This window comes from Homo sapiens, chromosome 5 (genome assembly GCF_000001405.40).
Source record: "Homo sapiens chromosome 5, GRCh38.p14 Primary Assembly".
Lineage (NCBI taxonomy): Eukaryota > Metazoa > Chordata > Mammalia > Primates > Hominidae > Homo > Homo sapiens.
The window spans coordinates 39,607,879-39,632,582 of NC_000005.10; the positions used below are offsets into that span (position 1 = coordinate 39,607,879).

The following is a 24,704-nucleotide window of genomic DNA, read 5'->3' on the forward strand; positions in this document are numbered from 1 at the left end:
GAACCCAGGAGGCAGAGAATGTAGCGAGCCGAGATTGCTCCATTGCCAGACTGGGCAACAAGAGCAAAACTCTGTCTCAAAAACAAAAAACAAAAAAACACTTAAATGGAACACATTTACATGATCTCACTTAATCCTCAAAAATACCAAGATTTTGGCATTACTATTTTCATTTTATAACTTAAGAAACTGGGACTCAGAAAGGTTAAGATATTGCGAAATATCGCAGGAGAGTAAGTGGTATATCCGGAGTTGGAAGCTTCAACTGTTTAATGACAAGGCCAATTCTCTTGGTGCTCATAAAGTGTTACCTCTTAAATCGAGAGTTCTCTGTCTTATGAGGTTTTTTTGTTTTGTTTTGTTTTGTAATTTTTTGTGAAATAAGGAATGAGGTCATTTCCTAAGAGTAATGGGGATGATGCTAGGCTAGTAGAGCGTGAAGAAGAATATTTGAAGTAGAAGTGGAAAGAGTCTTGTAACTGAAAGTGTGGTTATCAGTCAAGTAAATTTGGCATCCCTTTGTAGTAGCTTGATAGAAATGCAGATCTCAGGCCCCCTCCCAGACCTTCTGAATCCAATCTGCATTTATTTATTAATTTTTTTTTTTTTTTTGAGATGGAGTCTCACTCCGTCGCCCAGGCTGGAGTGCAGTGGTGTGATCTCAGCTCACTGCAAGCACCGCCTCCCGGGTTCACGCCATTCTCCTGCTTCAGCCTCCCAAGTAGCTGGGACTACAGGCACCCACCACCATGCCCGGCTAATTTTTTTAGTAGAGACAGGGTTTCACCATGTTAGCCAGGATGGGCTCGATCTCCTGAACTCGTGATCTGCCCGCCTCAGCCTCCCAAAGTGCTGGGATTACCAATCTGCATTTTTAAATATCCACAGGTGATTTGCATGTTCATTAAAGTTTTAGAAGCACTGGGCCAAGCAGAACTACTGTCAGGCAGCATTGAAGGGCCAGTTTAGATGGAGACTATACATTTATAAGCATCAATATTAATTATATCAATGACAAAGCCGAAATCCTACAAAAATGTTAGATCCTTGCTTTCTCAGCCTCCTTTGCATTTGTATCAAGAGCTTATGATCCAAACCTGGCCACTGAAACCCTAGGGGAAATGCCCTGTAGGAATTTTGGAAGAGATTTTCACCTTATTCAAACAGATGAATAGGAGCAAACTCCTGTCTTTTTGTCTGAATATTGTCATAACTGCTTGTGATACATAGAACAGTAGCAGTCACTTTGCAATATTGAAGGCATGAGCCCAAATCAAGCCAAGATAACAATTGATTAACCAACCCTAGAAGCACTATTCCTTTGGACTTCTTGTTATAAGAGATAGTAAACATTCTTATTCAAAGCTTTTCACTTGTATTTTTCATTGCTTGCAGGTAAGAGTATCCTAAGTTAAAAAAAATTATGGTTTTTCTCCTAAAATCCTCACAACATTATATTACAACAAAATGAGGCAAATTACAGAATTACTGGCTGAAAATTTGTAGGGTGAACGTGTCTAAATAAAAGCATTTGAAGGTTTAGGCAAATGTTTTTGCCTATACCTTCAGATTTGCACCTTCAGATACCTATAGATTTGCACCATGGGGTTGACACTTGGCAAGGATGGGATGTGACAATAGCCAGGATGGTGTTAACAGAATAATCAAACACAGAAGGTCAACATTTAATGAGATTAAAATGTTGTTACATTGGGATTGAGAGAGGAGGAAGTAGAGTCAGAAAGAAGATATTAGAATATAAGATTTCAGAGGTGAAGCAAGTAATGTTGCTGCCCTGGATGAGGGTGGATGATATAAAATAAATGTGAATATGATTGGAGTTTAGGAAGTCAAAGAAGCATAAAACTAGCTTGTTGGATGATACAACCAACCACACGGACATTGGAGAGACTTGGAATTATGACAGTTCTTGAGGTAGAGGCAGGACTTAAGGAATATGGACATGCTCGGGACATTGGAGAACAACTAAATTGAGAAAGGTCTCACAGAGGAGGGCACTTTTGGCTTGCACTGTGTAGAATGGGAATAGTCTATACAGTAGAGAGAAATGCAATCGTAGGCGTGCTTGGCAGAGGGAGCGATATGTGCAAAGCTCCTAGACAGGAAAAACCGTTTGAGGAATGGTGGGTAGTTCTTTGCTGCTGGAGCAGAGAAGGAAATAAGTTTTGGGTCAACTTGTGAAGAATTTATAAGTTACAAAAGCAAATTTGGATATATTCTGATCAATACTTATTGCTGATGATAGTTATCTAACCTCAAGGGAATTTAAAAGCTTTTATTCCTTTTTTTTTTTTTTTTTTTTTTTTTTTTTTTTGAGACGGAGTCTCGCTCTGTCGTCCAGGCTGGAGTGCAGTGGCGCAATCTTGGCTCACTGCAAGCTTCACCTCCCAAGTTCATGCCATTCTCCATTCTCCTGCCTCAGCCTCCGGAGTAGCTAGGACTACAAGAGGCCGCCACCACGCCAGGCTAATTTTTTTGTATTTTTAGTAGAGACGGGGTTTCACCGTGTTAGCCAGGATGGTCTCGATCTCCTGATCTTGTGATCCGCCCGCCTCGGCCTCCCAAAGTAGCTTTTATTCTTTTTTATAAAAAAATGCTCCACATGAAAGATGTCCCCTCACTCTGTCTGTCCTTCCTTCCTTCTTTCCTTCCTTCCTTCCCTCCCTGCCTTCCCTGCCTTCCCCTTCCCTTCCCTTCCTTTCCCTCCCTTCCTTCCCTCCCTGCCTTCCCCTTCCCTTCCCTTCCTTTCCCTCCCTTCCTTCCCTCCCTGCCTTCCCTGCCTTCCTCTTCCCTTCCCTTCCTTTCCCTCCCTTCCTTCCCTCCCTGCCTTCCCTGCTTTCCCCTTCCCTTCCCTTCCTTTCCCTCCCTTCCTTCCCTCCCTGCCTTCCCTGCCTTCCCCTTCCCTTCCCTTCCCTCCCTTCCTTCCCTCCTTCCTTCCCTCCCTCCCTTCCCTGGCTTCCCTTCCCTTCCCTTCCCCTCCCTCCCTCCCTTCCTTCCTCCCTTCCTTCCTTCCCCTCCCTCCTTCCTTCCCTCCCTCCTTCCCTTCCTTCCTTCCTTCCCTCCCTCCTTCCCTTCCTTCCTTCCTTTCCTTCTTCTTTTTTTTTTTCTTTTTATTGAGATGGAGTCTTGCTCTGTCACCCAGGCTGCAGTGCAGTGGTGCAGTCTCATCTCACGGCCAACTTTTGCTGCCTGGATTCAAGTGATTCTCATGCCTCAGCTTCCCAAGTAGCTGGGATTACAGGCACCCACCACCACGCCGGCTAATTTTTTGTATTTTTAGTAGAGATGAGATTTCACCATGTTGGCCAGGCTGTTCTCCAACTCCTGACCTCAGGTGATCCGCCCACCTCGGCCTCCCACTGTGCTGGGATTAGGCGTGAGTCACCGTGCCTGGCCTCTCTCTTTCTCCCTCCCTCTCTACCTCCCTCCCTCCCTCCCTCTCTCTTTTTTCTTTTTCTTTTTCTTTCTGATGCAGTCTCTCTCTGTCGCCCAGGCTGGAGTGCAGTGGGGTGATCTCCGCTCACTGGAAGCTCCGCCTCCCGAATTCACGCCATTCTCTTGCCTCTGCCTCCCAAGTAGCTGGGACTACAAGCGCCGGCCACCATGCCTGGCTAATTTTTTGTATTTTTAGTAGAGACGAGGTTTCACTATGTTAGCCAGGATGGTCTCGATCTCCTGACCTCGTGATCCGCCCGCCTTGGCCTCTCAAAGTGCTAGGATTACAGGCGTGAGCCACCACACCCTCCCTCCTTTCCTTCCTTCCTCCCTCCCTCCCTCTCTCTCTCTCTCTTCTCTCTTTCTTTCTCTCTGTCTCTATTTCTTTTTTTCTTTCCTTCTCCTATTCATTACTTGGGGAAGTTGGGAGAAAAGTAGACCTGACCTAATTACAGTTGTATTTTCTTTGTTTTAATGAATCCTTTTGGGAATAGGTAGATGTAGTTTATCTCTGACTGAAAGAGAGGAGAGGATGAAATGAATACACATCTTCCAGAATAACAATTTTTTGGCATATCAGTCAGTTTTTGCTACAATAGTATATAACCCTAATATCATGGCTTATGAGTAACAACAGTGGTTTCTTGCTGTGGTTATCTCCAGCTCTCCTGGACTCTACAGGGCTCTGATGGACTTCTCTGGTTCCACTGGGCTCTGCTACATTTCATAAGGCCCTTTTTAGTCCTGTTGGACACTACTTAGCTCTCCCAGGCCTTGCTGGGCTCTACTAAGTTCTGCTGGGCTAGATTTAGCTCAGTATATCTTTTCATTCTGGTAGCCTGGCTGAAGATGTCACTACTGTTGGGGATATATTTGTAATCATGATGAAAGGTCAGAGCAAGAGGCCAGAAGCTAAGTCATTCTGTGGCATTGAAGGATTCTTCTGCTCAATGTGTTGTAGTTTCTCTTTAATCAAACTCTAGCCAAGGGCTTCTGAGTCCTCTTCTCAACTAGGCCTCAATCTGGCTTATGAAAATTGCAGACTCTCAGCACAAATAATTTTGTCTACACTTTCCTACCTCCCCCACCAAATACGAGACTTGAACAAACACTAACACAGTATTTGTTCTAACAGTTACCAGCTAAAGTCTGTCTAACCTAACTGCTCAAGGCTGCACCCCTAGGATGACTCTAGCCCCCACTTAAAATACTGGCCTAAGAAAGCTCAAGCCTGCCTAAAGAATTTATTGTTTCCTCCAGCCCATCCTGGAGACAGGGAGAGAGTCCCCGAGCCCTCTTTTAGAAATCTTACAGTTACAAATTCTTTCTCTGTCCCTTTGAGGTATGAATCTTCCACCACCCAGAACAATCTTCTCTAGGACCTGAGGGCCATCTCTTTACAATGCAAACATTCAGAGAGGTAACTTTCACTCTACCTCCCAGGCCCCACGTGGACAAGGACCAAACTTGAACAAAACAAACTTGCTTTAACTTGCATCATTACCTCCTGTCATAAAGATATAGAAATTTGTTTCTCCAGCAAGGCACAGTGGCTCACACCTGTAGTCCTAGCACTTCGGGAGGCCAATGCAGGTGGATCACGAGGTCAGGAATTTAAGATCAGCCTGGCCAAGACGGTGAAACCCTGTCTCTACTAAGAATACAAAAATTAGCTGGGCATGGTGGCAGGCACCTGTAATCCCAGCTACTCGGGAGGCTGAGGCAGAGAATTGCTTGAACTCGGGAGGCAGAGGTTGCAGTGAGCCGAGATTGCGCCACTGCACTCCAGCCTGGGTGACAGAGCGAGACTCCATCTCAAAAAAAAAAAAAAAAAGAAAAAGAAAAAAAAAAAAGAAATTTGTTTCTCCTCCAGATAAGAGCCAATTAACAAACTTAGGTGGCCTAGTCATCTTAGCCAACTCTTCTTCCTGCTTTTCCTAAATTTTCACTTCTCTAACTCTGCTCCAGCCCTTGCTATACCGCCTCCCTACTCCCTCATTCTTCCTTTAAAACTCCCAGTCAACTCTGCACAAATCAAAGTTGAGTGCAGTGCTTGCTGGACCATGCTCCCTATTGTACTAGTTTAGTGCTGAATAAAATCTACTCTCACCACTTTAACTGGTGTCTGTCTTTACCTCTGACAGTGGCAAATGTTACATTAGCTCATATTCCAAATCACGTCAAATGATCAAGCCCCAAATCAATGGAGGCAAGGAAACATGATAAGATGGGAACAAGCAAACAGATAAAGCAATGATAGCACACGTGGCTATTTAATGAAAATGAGCTAGGGCTCATTTCTTTAACAAGAAAGTAAGATACCAGAAAGATACCTATTACAGGAAGTCAGTGTTTTTGATACAGCAAATATAAATAGAAAAACTCAGAGCAATGTTGCTCTCTTAATAATAGATAGATCAACATAAAATTGTCTCAAGGGAACTAAACCCATAAATGAATTTAATGTATAAGCTTTAATATCTGAAATATGTAATTGGTATTTATCCTTAACTGATGAGCAGTGTTCTAGTGTTCTTTAAATGGGAGCCAATTAGTTGTACTGATTTTTTAATATTAAACATTTGTATTTGATAGTTAAAAATAGAAAAAGCCATAAAAATCTCTGGCAAATCAGGAGTCCAAAAGGTATCTAAAATGCCCTATCTGCTGTTGCAATCATTTTCCTAGATTTTTATTTTATTTAACAACAGCAACAACAAAACTGTGATTGTCACTTGATGTACTGCATCAGATCTTTTACAATCATAGTTTTTAGGCCATGCTAGAAAAGATAACACTAGTTATTTAGCACAGTGTTGTATTTAGGGAAATTGTTAAGCCACTTAAATTTCAGACTCTCTCTGCTCTAGTAGAGAGTACAAAATCTACTGTTTGAGTGATGTTCACAGCCCAGTGTCAGGAAACAAGTCTCAGAAAATTAAAGTCCAGGCTTAGTGTGTTCTGGATATTATGTTTCGTGATATTTGACTTGAAAGAAAACAACTACCATGTAGCAACAAATTTGATATGACTGAAGGTAATATATTTTCACTTGAGATTCAATGTGCTTTACATCTTCATCAATTAGTTGGGGGAGAACAATAGAATAATAAGTGGACAATCGTATTAATGATGGGTAGTTAATGAGTCTGGTGAAAGAATCTCAATGAATAACTTTGTTTAGCACATCATATCCTTACCTATTAAGTGGAAAGTTTACTTGTGTTTTGTGGATGGAGGAATAGAAGGGAAAGGAAGATAAAGTAAAATAAATAAATAAATAAGATGCTTGCTCTCCATGAATTTGTTGGGTAGTGAAAAGTTCTAGGAATTGATATTAAACATTTATGTGTTTGATGTTGATGATGAAATGGCCTGTTTTCACAATATAATAGTGAGTGGAGAACAGGGGAAGGAAGAGGAGGAAGTCTGCCCTTTGGAGAGAAGAATTAGATTTAAGAATTATTTGAACAAATTGGAGACTTGTTTCAATTTGAACACTACCAAAATAACATTTAAAGAGAAGCAAATTTAGAAAAATTAATGGTACTTGTAGTACATCAGGAGATGTTGCTTTATGTAAATATGGCTAAAATTTACATGGTTATGGCAAATCAGAGAGGAAACCAAATGATCTAAACAACTGGGCCAGATTTAAAATAAAACTGATGACAATAACAATGTTAACAGAATCATAGTTAATATCATAGTTAAAATCATAATTGGTCTCAGAACGGTAATTTTTCATGGCAGTCCATGTCATCTTATCAGAAAGTAAGTGACTTTAATGGGAATGAGAGAGAGAAGAGTTTCTTTAGATGACTAACTAAAAGGAGTATGGATTTAAAAAAGAAGGTGGAACAATCTTATCCTGAGATCTCTTTTGCAAAGAGGAGAGATTGATACTATTTTGCCTCATTGGGATTCTGCAGTTTAAGGATGAAGCCTGCCTTATTCCTCCTGTTGTATGGAGTCTATAAATGCTGATAAAGAATCCTGAACCTGGTATTTGGGAAATGACATGAGATTGCCCACGCTGTCCATTGTGACAGTCCTACTACTCCAAGTTTCCAGGACTAGGCACAGTGTCTTGAGGCCAATTGTGGGGATGTTTCCTCTCTTCACCTGTTCAAGGGAATCATAGTGTATCGTCAAGTCATTCAAGGAAAACTGTTAATACAATAGATAAAACAGGCTTTATGTAGAGAATTCTTGACTGAGAGATCCTGCTTCCTACTGAAACCCTTCTACCCTGGGCATGCTCGAGCTTCAAACCTAGGGGATGTTCTTATTGCCACAAGGATTTTCCCAGGATCAACCCAGTTCCTGGTACAGCTCCCTGGATGTTGTCATCTGAAACCTAAAATAACTGGCCCTGTCAGGGCACAGAGAAGCCTCAGTGAACGTAAGAAGGTCCCCAAGGGCTCTCTTGGGACAAGTATTATTACAGTTTCGGCAAGATTATGGGTTTTTTGGTTAGTTTCTTTGTTTGTTTTTTCTGAGACCGAGTCTTGCCCTGCCACCCAGGCTGGAGTGTAGTGGCGCGATCTCGGCTCACTGCAACCTCTGCCTCCTGGGTTCAAGCAATGATCTCCTGCCTCAGCCTCTCGAGTAGCTGGGATTACATGCGCCTGCCACCATCCCCGGCTAATTTTTGTATTTTTAGCAGAGATGGGGTTTCACCATGTTGGCCAGGCTGGTCTCAAGCTCCTGACCTCAAGTGATCCGCCTGCCTCGGCCTCCCAAAGTGCTGGGATTACAGGCGTGAGCCACTGCCCCTGGCCAACATTATGGTTTTAAAATGGTTGGACTAGTTGATTTTTTCAGTCTTCCCAGCTCTAACCTTCTATGAGTAAATGAGTTTGTGGGCAGGCCTGGGGACACACCCATCCCATTTCTCTGGGAAAGTGCAGTACAAATCCAAACAGGCTCAATAAATGGACTTCTGGAACATAATCCATTAAAGTTGGGACTAACTAAATAGAAATGAAACATATATAGGCTTTGGAAGACAATATATTGTGTCCATATTTGGCAGAGCCCCCGGAGACTTTGCTACTCCAACTGCTAAAGTAAACATTGCATGCCACACTTCAGTATGTCTGGTATATAACTAGGGCTGTGTTTTGAATTTTCTGTCTGCATTACCCCCTCTCCCTGACTAGTATTGCAGTAATAAGCCAATATGTTTTAGGCAGGAAAAGAAAATCGTAATAACCAGTATACTATTTGAAAAGATAATGCATTTGGGAAGAATAATTCTTTTTTTTTTTTTTGAGACAGAGTTTCACTTTGTCATCCAGGCTGGAGTGCAGTGGCCCAATCTTGGCTCACTGCAACCTCTGCCTCCTGGGTTCAAGCAATTCTTGTGCCTCAGCCTCCTGAGTAGCTGGGTTTAGAGGCACCCACCACCATGCCCTGCTGATTTTTTGTATTTTAGTAGAGACAGGGTTTCACCATGTTGCCCAGGCTGGTCTTGAACTTCTGAGCTCAAGCAATCTACCTGCCTTGGCCTCCCAGAGTGCTAGGATTACAGGCGTGAGCCACTGTGCCTGGCTGGGAAGAACAATTCTTGGAAGCAGACTAGTAGAAAAATATTTCCTTTTCTAGATATAAAACTTTGGTTATTCTGGTTTCCATATAAAATACCTCATTTCCGACATATACTTAGACCCCTATTTCTTTTTTTTGAGTGTGTAATTCAGCTAACAATTGGATCCTCCTGGTCTGGGAGTAAAGCATGACCTTCAACAAGATTTTTACTAATTCTCAGACCTTATTCTATTCTGATGTTGTTTGGATCTGTTTGCTGGTACTATTTGAAGTGGATAATTGGGTTTTAGCAAAACCCTCCTTCTATATAACAAAATGTTTTAAATACCAATCATAAAATTAATAAGCCAATAGGACCAGTGGCCAGAAAAAAAAAGACAACGAGAATTCCCAGTTACTGCACTTCACACAAGTACAAATTATGTCACTAAAAAAACATGAAAAATAAAATAAAGGTAACAGCATAGAAAGGAAGAATAATGGGCTAATACTTCTAAATTTTATTGGTGCATTTTCTAAAACAAAGGAAATGAAAACTTAACCACATATTGATCTGTCACAGTAATGAATAAGACTGTTATTATTAGTGTCTGTTTCATCCTTAATTTCTGAAAATTGGAAAGAATTACTAATTAAGAAAACTTATTCTTTGTGTATTCATATTTAATGGATAGCATAGTCACATTTGTTCATTAATACCTGTTCATAATTGATCAAAGAACAACTTTTAGTAATTTTAAATAAAAAAAATTTAACAGGCCAGCAAAGTGGCTCAAGCCTGTAATCCCCACACTCTGGGAGGCCGAGGCAGGTGGATAACGAAGTCAGGAGTTCAAGACCAGCCTGGCCAACATGTTTAAACCCCTTCTCTGCTAAAAATACAAAAAATTAGCCAGGCATCGTGACATGACTTGTAGTCCCAGCTACTCAGGAGGCTGAGGCAGAAGAATCGCTTGAACCCGGGAGGCGGAGGTTGCAGTGAGCCAAAATGTTCCACTGCACTCCAGCCTGGGCGACAGAGTGAGACTTTGTCTCAAAAAATAAAAAAAAATAAAAAAATTTAACATGCACCAACAGTTATATGAAAAGAATTTCTAAAGCATTTTAAAACTTCACCTTTTAGAATAATTTGAAATTTACAAAAAAATATGAAGATGGTATAGTTTCTATATGCCCACACCCCATTTCTCCCATTAATATTTTACATTAGAATGATACATCATTTGTTATAAGTAATGAACTAATATTTATACCTTATTGTTAACTAAAGGCCATACTCTTTTTATATTTTCTTAGGTTTTTTTTTTTTTTTCTTTTTTTCTGGAGGTGGAGTCTTGCTCTGTCGCCCAGGCTGGAGTGCAGTGGCGCGATCTCTGCTCACTGCAAACTCCGACTCCCGGGTTCACGCCATTCTCCTACCTCAGCCTCCCGAGTAGCTGGGACTACAGGTGCCCGCCACCATGCTTGGCTAATTTTTTTTGTATTTTTAGTAGAGACGGGGTTTCACCTTGTTAGCCAGGATTGTCTCGATCTCCCGAGCTCGTGATCTGCCCGCCTCTGCCTCCCAAAGTGTTGGGATTACAGGCATGAGCCACCACGCTTGGCCAGATTTCCTTAGTTTTTATCTAATATTCTTCTTCTGTTAGTTAAAAGATTAGTCAGATATCTGTAACAATTCCATTTCACAGTGTATTCAGGAAATTGTAAAACTGTCATGTCTGTTTGGATTGATTCCAATGGCTGTCAAATGATATGTTTTGCTATGGTTTGGAATAGTTTAAAATCACCTCTGGCATTACATATTCCAGCATTTGAACAACAGATTTGACATGATCAACATCATGTTGATCATGATACACATGATCATGATTGTAAAATTAAAGAAACAGAAATTGAGTTCTTAGTCTTGAATGAATGCATGACACAGTCTAAATGTGTTAGGGTGCTGATGGTTTAACGTGCTTTCTCCAAATTAATTTCCATGTAGAACACAATGTTTATTAAAGGAGAAGTGCTAAAATTTTGCCAATTTGTAGCTTACTTGTGCATTATTAGATTTCAACAGAAATCAAGGCAGTTGTTTAGATTTAGAACTTAGACCACCACCCAAAAGCTGTTTTCAGGGAGGAGCATTTTATCACTGATGTGGAAAATTGCCAGCTAAGGCAGACAGACCTTGAGTTGATTTCATTATTGTCTTTATGCTTCTAAATTTTTATTTTAAAAGTTTTTGGGTTACACGTGCTGTTTGGTTACATGGATAAGTTCTTTAGTGGTGATTTCTGAGATTTTAGTGCACCCATCACCTGAGCAGTGTACACTGTACCCAATATGTAGTATTTTATACTTCACCTCTCTCCCAACTTCCCCCACTAGTCCCCAAAGTCCATTATATCATTCTTATGCCTCTGCATCCTCGTAGCTTAGCTCCCGCTTATAAGTAAGAACATGTAATATTTGTTTTTCCATTCCTGAGTTACTTAGAATAATGACCTCCAGCCCCATTATTGCTGCAAAACATATTACACAACATGAATGCTACTCAGCCATAAAAGGAACAAAAGATATTATTTCACAGGTGACAAGAAAGAGAGAAGAGAGAAGGAGAGAAGAGCTGCAGCCCTTTGGAGGACCCAGACCTGAGAGCTCCCCAAACCAGGGCTGTGACTCCCCTTTTGAGGCCTCGTGGTTCCTGGAGTCTCCAAGCTCCCGGGCACCACCACATTCCCCAGTGCCAGCAGTGGAGGCAGCTTGCAGTGTGCCTGGTCCAGCCACAGCCTTACAGTGAGCCAGCACCTGTGCTAGTAACAAAATACATTATTTTGTTCCTTTTTATGGCTGAATAGTATTCCATGGTGTATATATATATACCACATTTTCTTTTTCTTTTTCTTTTTTTTTTTTTTATTTTTTTTGTAGAGACAGAGTCTCACTCTGTCACCCAGGCTGGAGTGCTGGAGTGTGGTGGCATGATCTCGGCTCACTGAAACTTCTGCCTCCCGAGTTCAAGCAATTCTCCTGCCTCAGCCTCCCGAGTAGCTGGGACTACAGGCACATACTGCCACGCCTGGATAATTTCTTTTGTATTTTAGTAGAGACGGGGTTTCACCATGTTGCCCAGGCTGGTCTTGAACTCCTGAGTTCAGGCAATCCGCCTTCCTCGACCTCCCAAAGTGCTAGGATTACAGGCATGAGCCACCACGCCTGGCCACCACATTTTCTTTATCCATTTGTTGGTTGATGGGCACTTAGATTGGTTCCATATTTTTGCAATTGTGAATTGTGCTACTATAAACATGCATGTGCATGTGTCTTTTTCATATAACGGCTTATTTTCCTTTGGATAGATACTTTGCAGTGGGATTAAATAGTAGTTCTACTTTTAGCTCTTTAAGGAATCTCCACACTGTTTCCACAGTTGTACTAATTTACATTCCCATCAGCAGTGTAAAAGTGTTCCCATTTTATCTTATCCATGCCAAAATTTTTTTTATGGTAATTCTTGCAGTAGTAAGGTGGTATCTCATTTTGGTTTTAATTTGCATTTCCTTGATAATTGCATGTGATGTTGGGCATTTTCTTGTACGTTTCTGGGATGTCTGTATAGCTTCCTACAGACAATCTCCCTCCCCTGGTTAACTGCACCCACTGCAGACCACTCTCACCACCCACCTCTCTGTACTTGGTATTTCATTGGGTCAGTCTCCACCGCTCCTTAGATGCAAGTCTTAGCTTCCCTCAACTATTTTCACAAGAAATCTCTTTACATCAACCTAAGCAAGCGTTTTGAGAAGTTTTAAAAAACGTACGGATGATGTGATATGTTACCAGCACAGGACACACGGTTTGGTCTCTTGTTTTCTCTCTAACACACCCCTACCCCTATTCATTTTTTTCTCCTTCCTCCTCTTGTCACTGTATCCACTCTAAGGCCCCTACATCCTTTTTCTTCTCCACAGTCAAAATTATCAATACAGTTCTTAACCAATGTTTGTCTCTCCATACAAGTGTTATGGGATCTTTGATGGTGTTGCTTTTCGGGCTGAAAGCCTCTGTGGCCAATGACACATTTGCCCAAATTTTGCTCGGGTCCACTGGGCCCACTCGTCCTGGTAGGCTGTGCTTGGCTCACACTACTGTCCTGGATCCTATGCTTCTGAAGAGACTGGAAAGGAGTGGCGAGGGGTGTGAAAATGAGCAAGTGTGGGGTCCGGGCACTGTGCACAGTCAGGTATGCCAGCTGCTGCAGCAGGGCGGGCAGTTCCAGATGCTCGCACAGGTGCTGGCTCATTGCAAGGCTGTGGCTTGACCAGGTGCACTGCAAGGTGCTTCTACTGCTGGCACCAGGGGACTTGGTGGTGTCCGGGAGCTTGGAGACTCTAGGAACCACAGGGCCCCAAAGTAGGAGTCACAGCCCTGGTTCAGGGAGCTCACAGCTCTTCTCTCCTTCTTGTAGCCTTCAAGGTGGTGAGCAAGGAGCATGTTTCAGCCCTGTTTGTGTTACCACTCTTTTAGCCTCACCATTTGGTGGGTCCTGAGTTCTCATCCTGTGACCAGGAAGAATGAGGAATGCAGACAAGTAGAGGGCGAGCAAGACGAAGAGGAGTCTGAGTTTATTGAGCAATAGAACAGCTTGGAGGAGACCTGCAATGGCAGCTCCTTTTCATAGCCAGGGTGTCCTGACTAGTGTTCAGCTCTCAGCAGAGAGGGCAGGTCCTCTCTGCAGCTGGTCATCCCTTCATCTCTTCAGCTCTCAGCAGAGAGGGTAGCTCTTCTTTTCTAGGCAGGTCATCCCGATAAGCATCCAGCTCTCATCAGAGAGGGTAGTTCCTCTCTGCAGCTGGCCATCCCATCGTCTCCCCTTTGTCTCTCCATCCTCTCCGCCCTTTGCTCAAGGCTGGCTGAGTCCGGGGTTTTCATGGGCCTCAGAGGGGAGGAAGTGTGTGCTAATTGGTCCATGGGTGGCCATGGACAGGACTAGGGAAAAACACCACAAATTCACTCTCTGGTTCATGGAACTGGAGGCCCGGCCCCCAGGCTTCTGGCCTCCCTGGCTTGAAGGTGGGGCTTCACAGGGGACTTGCCCCCTTCCACCCGGAAGCCTGTCTACCTCCTGCTGCTGTTTATGTCAACCAAACTGTTCATGCCAAGGGGTGCCTGCAGTCCAGTGCCAGGTTGTCCTCAGCCTCCCTCGGCCTTCTCCCCATGCTTGTTGGTGCCCAAAGGCAGCACAGGGCTGGCATGTCAGTGCTACCCTGCATGTGTGCACATCTAGCTGGGCTTTGACAATACCTGGGCTTGTCCTGAGTTTGCTCCAAGAATGGAGTGAGCTCTGAGAGTGGGGAGAAGCCAGGCAGTGGGAGCAGGCATTTCTGAGCCTGCGGGAGGAGGAGGCCATTCCCAGGACCCCAAGAGCACAGAGATCCCCAGGTCCAGAGCCATGGCAGGGAGGCTGCAGTTGCACCCAGGGAGCTCCTGCCCACCAAGTTGGAAGGGACAGGGCTCCTGTTTGTCCCCGGCTCCCACCAGCTCCATGAAGCATGTAGCCCTGGCTGTACCTCCTCACAGCCTGGGGCAGGGGCTCCAGGTCTTCGCTGAGCCCCTCTCTGCCCATTCCTCTGTGCCCACCCAACTGCACTGCTCTCCTGCTGGCAGGTGGCTTGGCATGGCGCCATTGTGGCTGCTCCCAGGGTGGCGGGTTCTGGGGGGCTCCCAAGGGTGGGCTCTTGACGGCCTGCCACTACCATCACAAGGAATCCTCACTGGGCCTGCGAAGAGAGGGCATTTAATCTATTTTGTCACATAAATGATCAGGCCATATGTAATTTTTTTCATAGAGTAATTTTCCCAATCGTATTCTACCTTCTAGAATAAACGATATTGGTAGTTGTTATTAGTTGTTTGTGTTTTGTAGCTATAAAAACATCAAAATTAAGATGTGAAATGGCTCCTCCTTCCTAGAAAGATTCATTGTAAACCTAATTGTATAGTGAGTCTCAGATGCTTAAAAACCGTTGCACCTAAAGCTTTATCATTGATTAAATCCCTTAACTAACATTTTTGTGAATGCAAAGGAAAGGTAGGTATTCATTTAGAAGTTCTTTGCATGTTTACAAGCAATTAATAAGTGCCTGGCTGACTTTTAACGAGATTGTGCTAATTCCATTTGTCTAACTTTCCTCCTAGTTTTGATTTTGCAAACTTTAATCATTTCCCTTACTGTTTTCTTAACTTTTCTGCATTTCTTAACATTAATTTTACTTACTTAATTGTGATTAAATGGTGAACATATAACCAAGTATTTTGAATTTTTTTTACTGTATGTAACATTTAATAAATGTATTTTGGTCCTGATCACATTAATTTAGTGGGTTCTAATCTTACATAAGTACTTTAAATGTCTTCCATACTTAAATTTTGGTTATTTCCTTTACATGACCCATTTCCTGGTTTTGCTCAATGTAGAAGAGGATGTTTTCTATTTTTATTTTGAATTTTACTGTTCCCCAAGGCCTTCTTAATTATGTTTTTCTTGGGTAGGCAACATCTTGTCTCTTGATTTTTAAGCCATGACTAAAGTATACCCAGATAGCATGTGATTTGCTAAATGACTTTTTTTTTTTTTTTTTTTTTTTTTTTTGACAGAGTCTTGCTTTGTTGCCCAGGCTGGAATGCAGTGGTGTGATCTCGGCTCACCGCAACCTCTGCCTCCTGAGTTCAAGCGATTCTGCTGTCTGAGCTTCCTGAGTAACTGGGATTATAGGCCAGCACCACCACGCTATACTAAATTTTACTATTTTTAGTAGAGATGGGGTTTTACCAAGTTAGTCAGACTGGTCTTGAACTCCTGACCTCAAGTGATCCACCTGCCTCAGCCTCCCAAAGTACTGGAATTACAGGTGTGAGCAACCATGCTCAGACTTAAATGAATTTTTTTAAATGAAAAATTGGGTTAACGGGTAACAAAAACACTTTACAGTACATCACCCCACAGCCTAGTATCTAGAGTTTTCTCAGTGAAACATAATTTTAGAAATTATCTCTTTTCGTATTTGTTACTTAATTTGTCATACTGCAAATTTCAAGGGCTGGTAGTAGTAGCCAGTGAAATGCCATGCCCAAAGAGGAAGGTAAATAATGTTTTTAAATGCATTTGCTAGTTTTATGCTTTACAGAAAATATTTTATTTTCTGTAAAATAAATTAGTTCCAATTTAGAGATGAGGATATTAGGGTTCATAAATGTTCAAAAACTTGGTCAAGGTCAAATTAGTGAGTAGTAGTGCTCCTTTCACTTACTACTCAAGCATCTGTTTTCTAATTTTTGCACAGCCCTTGAATTCAGAGACTATAATTTATTAGTCTATTAAGGTGTAAATTTTAAAGAAGAATAATGTGCCAAATATTGTTATCAAAAAGATTTTCATATGAGACCATTTCTACAGAAACTTTTTGTTGTTGTTCCTTTTTCTTATTCAATCTTATTGCAGTGATGACTGCAGTAACATGTTGTATCTCTCCTCTTCTTACAACTTAACTTTGACACTGCTCCCATCCAGTAATGGGAACTATGTACTCTCCACTTGCATGTACTTGTCAATAATGTTAATACTTTGTGGTTTTTGAGGCTGAGTTATAAAAGGTGATTTTTAACCTTGTTCTCTTGGGACACTCTCTCAATTCAGCAACCATACTGTTAGGTAGTCCAAGCAGCTTGCAGATAGGTCCATATGGGGAGAATCAGGGTCTGGTCATTAACAGGAACCACTGAACTGCCAGTCAATAGTGAGCCCCAACTAGCCAGCCATGTGAATGAGTCATCCTGGGAGTAATCCTGCAATACCAGTTGAACTGCCCAGCTGATGCTATGTGGAGCAGAGGTAAAACCTTCACAAGGATCCCTGTGAAAACTGAAGTTTTATAAGTGAAATTAACTATTTATTGCTGTTGTTTTAAGCCACAGCATTTTATAGTGATTTGCTATTCGGCAATAAGCAAGTGTCACATGTTCTTTTGGGTTAATGGAAAACTTACTTTTGAAAACCATTTTCATTGCACTACATTTCTGAATGTTTTCTTCCTGTTGTATGAGCTAAAAATAATCCAAGAAAAGTTGCCCAACTCCTGAGAGACTTGGACAAACCTGAAATAATTTTTGTTTTGTAGTTTCATTCTTATGCTGCTCTATTAAAAAATCTTGCTTGTCTGTTTTGACCAGAAATATCCAGGAAAAAGGCAGTTACATTCGTTTACTCTGGACTTGCTGCAAGAGTATGAACAGGCAAAGTAACCTTTGCACTATAGTTAATGTTTTCCACGGAATCTATCTGAACATCAGACTGCTTCATTGCTACAAGTTATTCAACTTCTATTAATTCTATAATTGAATAGAAGTTTGATTTAACTTGTGGAATTTTGCTTCTAAGAAACCTGCTTCTTTTATTTGGAGCACATCTCGTTTCAGTCTTTCTTTGTGTGTCATATTAATAGATTTTTTAAACATTTGTTTTAAACATTTTCCTTAAAAATATATTTTTTTTCTTCATTCTTCTTATTCTTGCCATGTTCCTGGTCATAAATATCAAGGTGATGGTTTCTAGTTATCCAGGCTTATGTAGCTATTTAACAAGCTCATAAGATTATCAACTACATTGTCCACCTGCATATTTTGTCATGGCATAAATAAGCCATATCCTGCAATGGCATTAAATCATAGATATGATAGGATTCATATTAACTATTTGAAAGAAGCATGTGGACAGGAACTCAAGGAAGTCACACAGGTGAGTTATTCTTTATTGACAATACGGATAAGTAATTGACATTATTACTTTCTGTATCTGGGAACACTAAACCCTAGTGTCTAGTGTCACAACTGCCTTTACCTTGGCTTCCCCAACCCAATTCCCAGAAAACAAAGCTTGTAACAGGGGCTTGTGTGTGGGTGACTTATTTAGGAAGTGACCCTAGGTAACTGAGATGGGGACTGGAATAGAGTAACATGGAAGGAAGGAAAGCCATGAGTAGTAGTCTGTTTTCAGGCTGCTGATAAAGACATACCCGAGACTGGGTAATTTATAAGTAAAAATAAGTTTAATGGATTCAACAGTTCCATGTGGCTGGTGAGGCCTGACAGTCATGGTGGAAGGTGAAAGGCACGTCTTATATAGTGGCAGACAAGAAAGAATGAGAGCCAAGTGAAAGGGATTTCCATTTATAAAACCATCAGATCTTGTGAGACTTATTCACTACCACAAGAACAGTATGGGGAAAAGCATCCCCATGATTCAATTATCTCCCAACAAGTCCCTCCCACAACACATGGGAATTATGGGAGCTACCATTCAAGATGAGATTTGGGTGGGGACACAGCTAAACCATATCACCATGGTAAGAGTTATTTATCAAATTGGTCCCCACTATAGCTACAGGAGCTCAATTCCTCTGGGAACTTCTCACGAGAAAGTGTCTCAAGGATGAGAAGACAGGGCACTTATCTCTTGACCCCTCCTCCATTGGCCAAGGGTAGCCTGTGGTTTATTAACTCCTTGGGGCTTCTATGTCTCTTGTGTCTAAGCACGAAGTGGTCTTTGTAAGCCTCCTTTGTTGCTGCATCAGAGGAGTACTAGAAAAGGGAGAGGAGTATGTTATGTGTGCAGTCGAGATAATTATTTTCTAGTAATGCCTATGCAAAGGCAGCTTTTATTATGGTAGCCAGGATCTAAGGTAGCCTGAGAAGATATACAGCAAAATACCAAAGACATTCAATATAATTCTCATGACAAAAAGAAAAATAAAGAGAGGAGAAAATTTGTTGACATGTTAAAGGTCCCTTTCAAAGCGACTTTTAATGTCCAGTGTACAAAGAATAGAAGTACTAAATCCTATTAGTAATAAGTCAGAATCTTGTAAGAGTAGGATTTGGCATATTAAATATCAAAGTTATTTGAGAATTTTAAAATTATATATATATATAAGGAAACCATATGAAAACAAAGGGCTCTTAAAGGATTTTTTCATTATACCTGGAATATTTAAAAAATGTAGTCTGGGTGCAGTGGCTCACGCCTGTAATCCCAGCACTTTGGGAGGCCAAGGTGGGCCTCCCAAATCACAAGGTCAGGAGATCGAGACCATCCTGGCTAACACGGTGAAACCCCGTCTCTACTAAAAATACAAAAAATTAGCCGGGCATGGTGGCGGTTGCCTGTAGTCCCAGCTACTCGGGAGGCTGAGGCAGGAGAATGGCGTGAACCCAGGAGGTGGAGCTTGCAGTGAGCCGAGATTGCGCCACTGCACTCCAGCCTGGGCGACAGAGCGAGACTCTGTCTCAAAAGAAAAAAAATGTAAGCAAATGCTCACTTTACTGGTAACTGAAGCTAGAGTAAAATATTTACAAATGTTTATATGTATTATTGTGTGCATGAGAAGGAGAAAGAGAGAGAGAGTGAGTTTGGGTGGGTGAGTAAAGATTGATGAGAATACTGAAGTATATGAGTCATTAGACAGGTGAGAAGACCCAGTGTCAAGCAGAATTGTATCCAGCCGCTATGAGGATTACTAGGAAAAACTGAGAAACTGTTACTTGTAATCAAGGATGGCTGCATAAGTTGCAGACGCCGGTGTCAAGTGAAAATACATGGCCTATTTTTTTTTAAAGCAGGAAAAATTTGTGGTTATAGTACACAAAACTTTTGATTTGTTCCCGCAGTCCTGCTCTCAAATTGATTTTTTAAATTTGTTTTAATATTACTCTAAAGAAGAAAAAATTAAAATGTCAATCATTAGCTTAAATTTTACCTTTTGTCCTTGTGTTGTACAACGCCAATTCTAAAGGCAAATAGCATGTTTAATTCATGTGATATCACGACCAGGACAATTTCTATTTCATGGCTTGTCCCTGGAGGGTGTGTCAAGCTGGCTACAGAAACAAATATGAGCTGAATCTGGGAAGATTGGAAGAAGGCACCTTGAGCATGGGGAATCTCACTGGGTAAGTGCAGACCTTCACGGGGACCTGGAGTCCTACCCAGTGGACCAGCCGCTGGATTGATTCACTTGACTTCAGCTAGAGGAGGGGTCTGGGTTTAGGGGGTGAGGCTTCTACCCTTTTCATAGCCCACTGACCCAACCTATGGCAGACAGGTGACCCCCAGGGATCTTCAGACTTCTCCACCAGGATGCACTCAGTATCTGAATCAGGTGTCCTATATTATTAGTTTATATTAGGTTGGTGCAAAAGTAAGTGCGATTTTTGCCATTAAAATTAATATTTTAAAGTCCTGAAGGCTGGGTTGGCTATTGTTTGATTTGATCCATCTTTCTAACTTGCTGTGATACTTTGGATCCTTATTGTATGGGGTAGGTATTTATTCAGTTGTTTTCTCACGGACCTCTCTACACTTTTTAGGAACTAGCTATCTTCCTGTTTTATATGGAAAAATTGATGGGCTCCAAAATTTGCTCTTATCGCAAATCTATCACAGTGAAAATTACAATAAATGGTTCTTCCAATTGTAAAGGTCTACCCTAGTTGACAGGCAGTTTGGGCTATAATAGTAATTTTTTTTCTGTTTTAGAAGAGGTATCCATGACAACCAAGGAGCTGGCTCCAGCTCTCATTTGCTCTAAGGAGTTGATGCCATGAGTTTGGCATTCAATTCTCAATGCTGTACTTAGAAGGACACAAATTCACTGACATCTGTCTAATAGGAATGGTAGATGATTTTGAAAGCGAAATCTGTGAGGAACAATTTAAATTCTTAGAAGAAAAGGAGTTGTGGGAGCCATCTAGCTGATTTGAAATATTTAAAGACCTGTCATATGGAAGAGGAATGTGATTAATCTTGAGTGTCCTCAAAGACAGAACTAGTATTAATGGATAGATGTGAGGTGAAGGCAAATTAGTTTAACAGAAAGAAATTGTGGACAGCCACACTTGTGCAAAAGTGATTCATAACTTAGGACACTTTTCCTCATTGGAGGTATTCAGGCTGGAGAATACTCTGTACCAAGGCCACTGCCCCAGATTGAATTTGTCCTACTGTAGTGGAATTGAGAATGAATAACAGGGAATGGTTCCTAGAGCGTGAAGGACCATTTGCTGCTCTGAGAAGTATTATTTCTTGTTATAAACTGTTGTGTTAAGGAGCACACAGTGCCTATATTAATTTTTAAGGGCTGCTGTAACAAAGTATCACAAACAGGGTGGCTTCAAATGACAGAAACTTATTGTTTCACAGTTCTAGAGGTTGGATGTCCAAAGTCAAGTTGTTGGTGGGGCCATGCTCCCGAAACCTGTACAGAAGAATTCTTCCTTGCCTGTTCCTAGCTTCTGAAAATTGCCATCAACCTTTGTCATTCCTTGGCTTTCAACTGTATCACTCCAATCTCTACCTCTGTTGTTACATGCCTTTCCTCTTGTCATAAGGACACTAGTCATGTTTGATTAGGGTCTCCCCTAATGATTTCATCTTGACTACATCTACAAAGACCCTATGTCCAAATAAGATCACCTTCACAGGTACCAGTGTTAAGACTTCAACATATCTTTTTGGAGGACACAATTCAACCTATAAGTGTTCCAAGGAGAGTGACAATTCTGCACTTTGATTCTCCACCTGGCTCTGTCTCTGCCATACTTAATTATCTAAGGAAGACAACTCACCTCTTGGAACTTCAGTTGCTGTTTCTGTAAGATGAGAGCAATGCCTTTCTTTGGCTTTGGATCTATGTGAACATACAAAGCATTAACAAATGGACATGAACTCTGAAAAACTCTCATATGTGGATGCCTTCAATGCAGTTCACTCTGTATATGTACATCTCCAAATTATAACTCTTTTTTCTTTTGAGCAAATTAAAGCAAGAAGTGCTTTATTTCTAACACATAGGAAAGTCTCGGTCACCACAGGCCAAAAGGCGGGATTGACAGTAAGAACATGAAAAACAACACAGATGTATTTCATTTTGGAGGAGTCTGGGAAAATGAACTAACTTAGTCAACATGATCTACTCAGTCCATATGAGGAAAAGAAAACACACACACACACAAACACACACACAAAATTACAATTTACTCTAAAATTTCTGATCAATTTGTCGCTGTGCAGTCACTTTGTTCCCACAATATCTTATTCAAAGACTTTCTGGTGACCTAAATCTGTCATTTTCTCCTAAGAGTACCTGTTTTCTATCTTGTCTTTGGGCTCCAGCTACTCTTTACGTTCACTGTTGATTACCATCAGTGATAATTTGGGGTGACAAGCAACATGTTTCCAAACAAAGGGGATGAATGGCTCGGCATTTGAGAAAGACTAAAAAAAAAATAGGTCTGAAACGATGCAAACTGGGATAATGTATTCTCAAAGGCTTAAAGTAATGGATACGAATCAAGAGTGGCAACAGAAATCTTGAAAATGAACAAAGAAGAACTCATATTTTCTGATTTTGAAGTGTATTTCAAAGCTAAAGCAATCAAGACAGTGTGGAACTGGCATAAAGACAGACATAGAGATCAATGAAATTGAATTGAGAGGCCAGAAATAGACTCTTACATTAATAGCCAATTGATTTCCAACAAAGCTGCTAAGATAATATGAAGAGAGAAATAATGGTCTTTTTAACAAATGGTGCTGGGACAGTGGAATAGTCACATGCAAAAGAGTGAAATTGGACATCTGGTTCATGTCATATACAAAAATTAAGTAAAAATGGATCACAGACCTAAATGTTAAAAAGCTAACTCTATAAAACTGTTAGAAGAAAGCATGGGATGAAACCTCTGTGACTTTGGGTTAGGAAATGGTTTTATTTATTTATTTATTTATTCATTTATAATAATTATTAATATTTTTAAGTGACAAATCATAATTTATACATTTACAGGGTAGAATGTGATGTTTTGATATAGGTACCCAATGTGGCATGATTAAATCCTATCTATCACCTCAACTACCTGTCATTTTTTATGGTCAAACATTTGAAATTTAGTTTCTCAATTATTTTGAAATATATAACACATTATTATTGATAATAGCCACACTGATGTGCACTAGACATTAAAATCTATTGCACTTGTCTATCCAAAACCTTGTACCCTTTGATCAAGAACTCCCCATTCCCTCTCTCTCCACCAGCCCATCCCCAAGCCTCTGGTAATCATTGTTCTACTCTCTACTTCTATAAATTCAGCTTTATTAGATTCCACATATAAATGAGTCATGTGATATTTGTCTTTCTGTGCCTAACTTATTTCCCTTAGCATAATGTCCTTCAGATTCATCCATATTGTCACGAATGACAGGTTCCCCACCTCCTTTTTAAGGCTAAATAATATTCCATTTATATATATAAGGAAATGGTTTCTTTGATAATATACCAGAAGAACAAGTGACAAAAGAGAAAAGTAGATAAACTGGGCTTTAAAATGTTTTGTGCTGCAAATTATACCATTAAGAAAATGAAAGGGCAAGCTTCAGAATGGAAGACAATATTTGCAAATCATGTATCTGATAAGAGACTTGTATCCAGAATACATAAAGAACTCTGACAATTTAATAATGTAAGACAAATAGCCCTATTTTAAAAGGAAAAATTTCCAATAGACCTTTATCCTAAGTCGATATAAAAATGGCAAATAAGCACATGAAAAACTGCTTAACTTCATTAGTCATTAGGGGAATGTAAATCAAAATTACAATGAAGTTCCACTTTATACTCACTAAAATGGCTATAATAAAAAGGGTGACAGCAGCAAGTGTTGACAAGTTTGTGGAGAAATTGAAACCCTTATATACATGGCTGGTGGGACTGTAAAATGGTACAGGCATGGCCGGGCACAGTGGCTCACGCCTGTAATCCCAGCACTTTGGGAGGCCGAGGCAGGCGAATCATGAGGTCAAGAGATCGAGACCATCCTGGCCAACATGGTAAAACCCTGCCTCTACTAAAAATACAAAAAATTCGCTGGGCATGGTGGTGCATGCCTGTAATCCCCACTACTCAGGAGGCTGAGGTAGGAGAATCGCTTCAACCCGGGAGGTGGAGGTTGTAGTGAGCCGAGATCGCACCACTGCACTCCAGCCTGGTGACAGAGTGAGACTCTGTCTCAGAAAAAAAAAAAAAAAAAAGTACAGGTGCTTTGGAAAATGATTTGACAGTTTTTCATGATGTTAAACATAGAATTACTATTTGAGTTAATAATTATACTCTTCTAAATATACCCAAGTGAATTGAAAACATATGTCCACACAAAAACTATGCATGAATGTTCACAGCAAAAACCTCAAACTGGAAATAACCCAAAAGGTCTATTAAATGATGAATGAATAAGTCAAGTGTGGTATATCTATATAATGGAATTCTTATTGGCAATAAATAGGAATGAAGTGAAGCTGACGTTTGAACAACACAGGTTTGAACTGCATGGGTCCACTTATAAAAGGATTTTTTTCAATTAAATGCACATTGAAAAATACAGTATTTTTGGGATGTGGAACTTGCATATATGGAGGGCTGACTTTTCATATATTCAGGTTCTGCAGAGCTGACTGTCTGTTGCAAGGAGCTCCTGAAACCAATCCCTGTGCATAGGAATGGGTAACTGTATTGACACAGGTTACAACCGGGATGAAGCTTGAAAACATGATGCGAAATTAAATAAGCCAGTCACATAAAACCATAAATTGTATGCTT

General features: G+C 40.9%; 1 annotated feature.

Moving 5' to 3' along the window:
- Nucleotides 603–784: a silencer, noted in NCBI's record as "fragment chr5:39608583-39608764 (GRCh37/hg19 assembly coordinates)". NCBI's record gives its function as "represses an EF-1alpha promoter that drives an FKBP-Casp9 reporter gene in an ReSE screen in HepG2 liver carcinoma cells {active_cell/tissue: HepG2}" and the evidence as "EXISTENCE:reporter gene assay evidence [ECO:0000049][PMID:32094911]".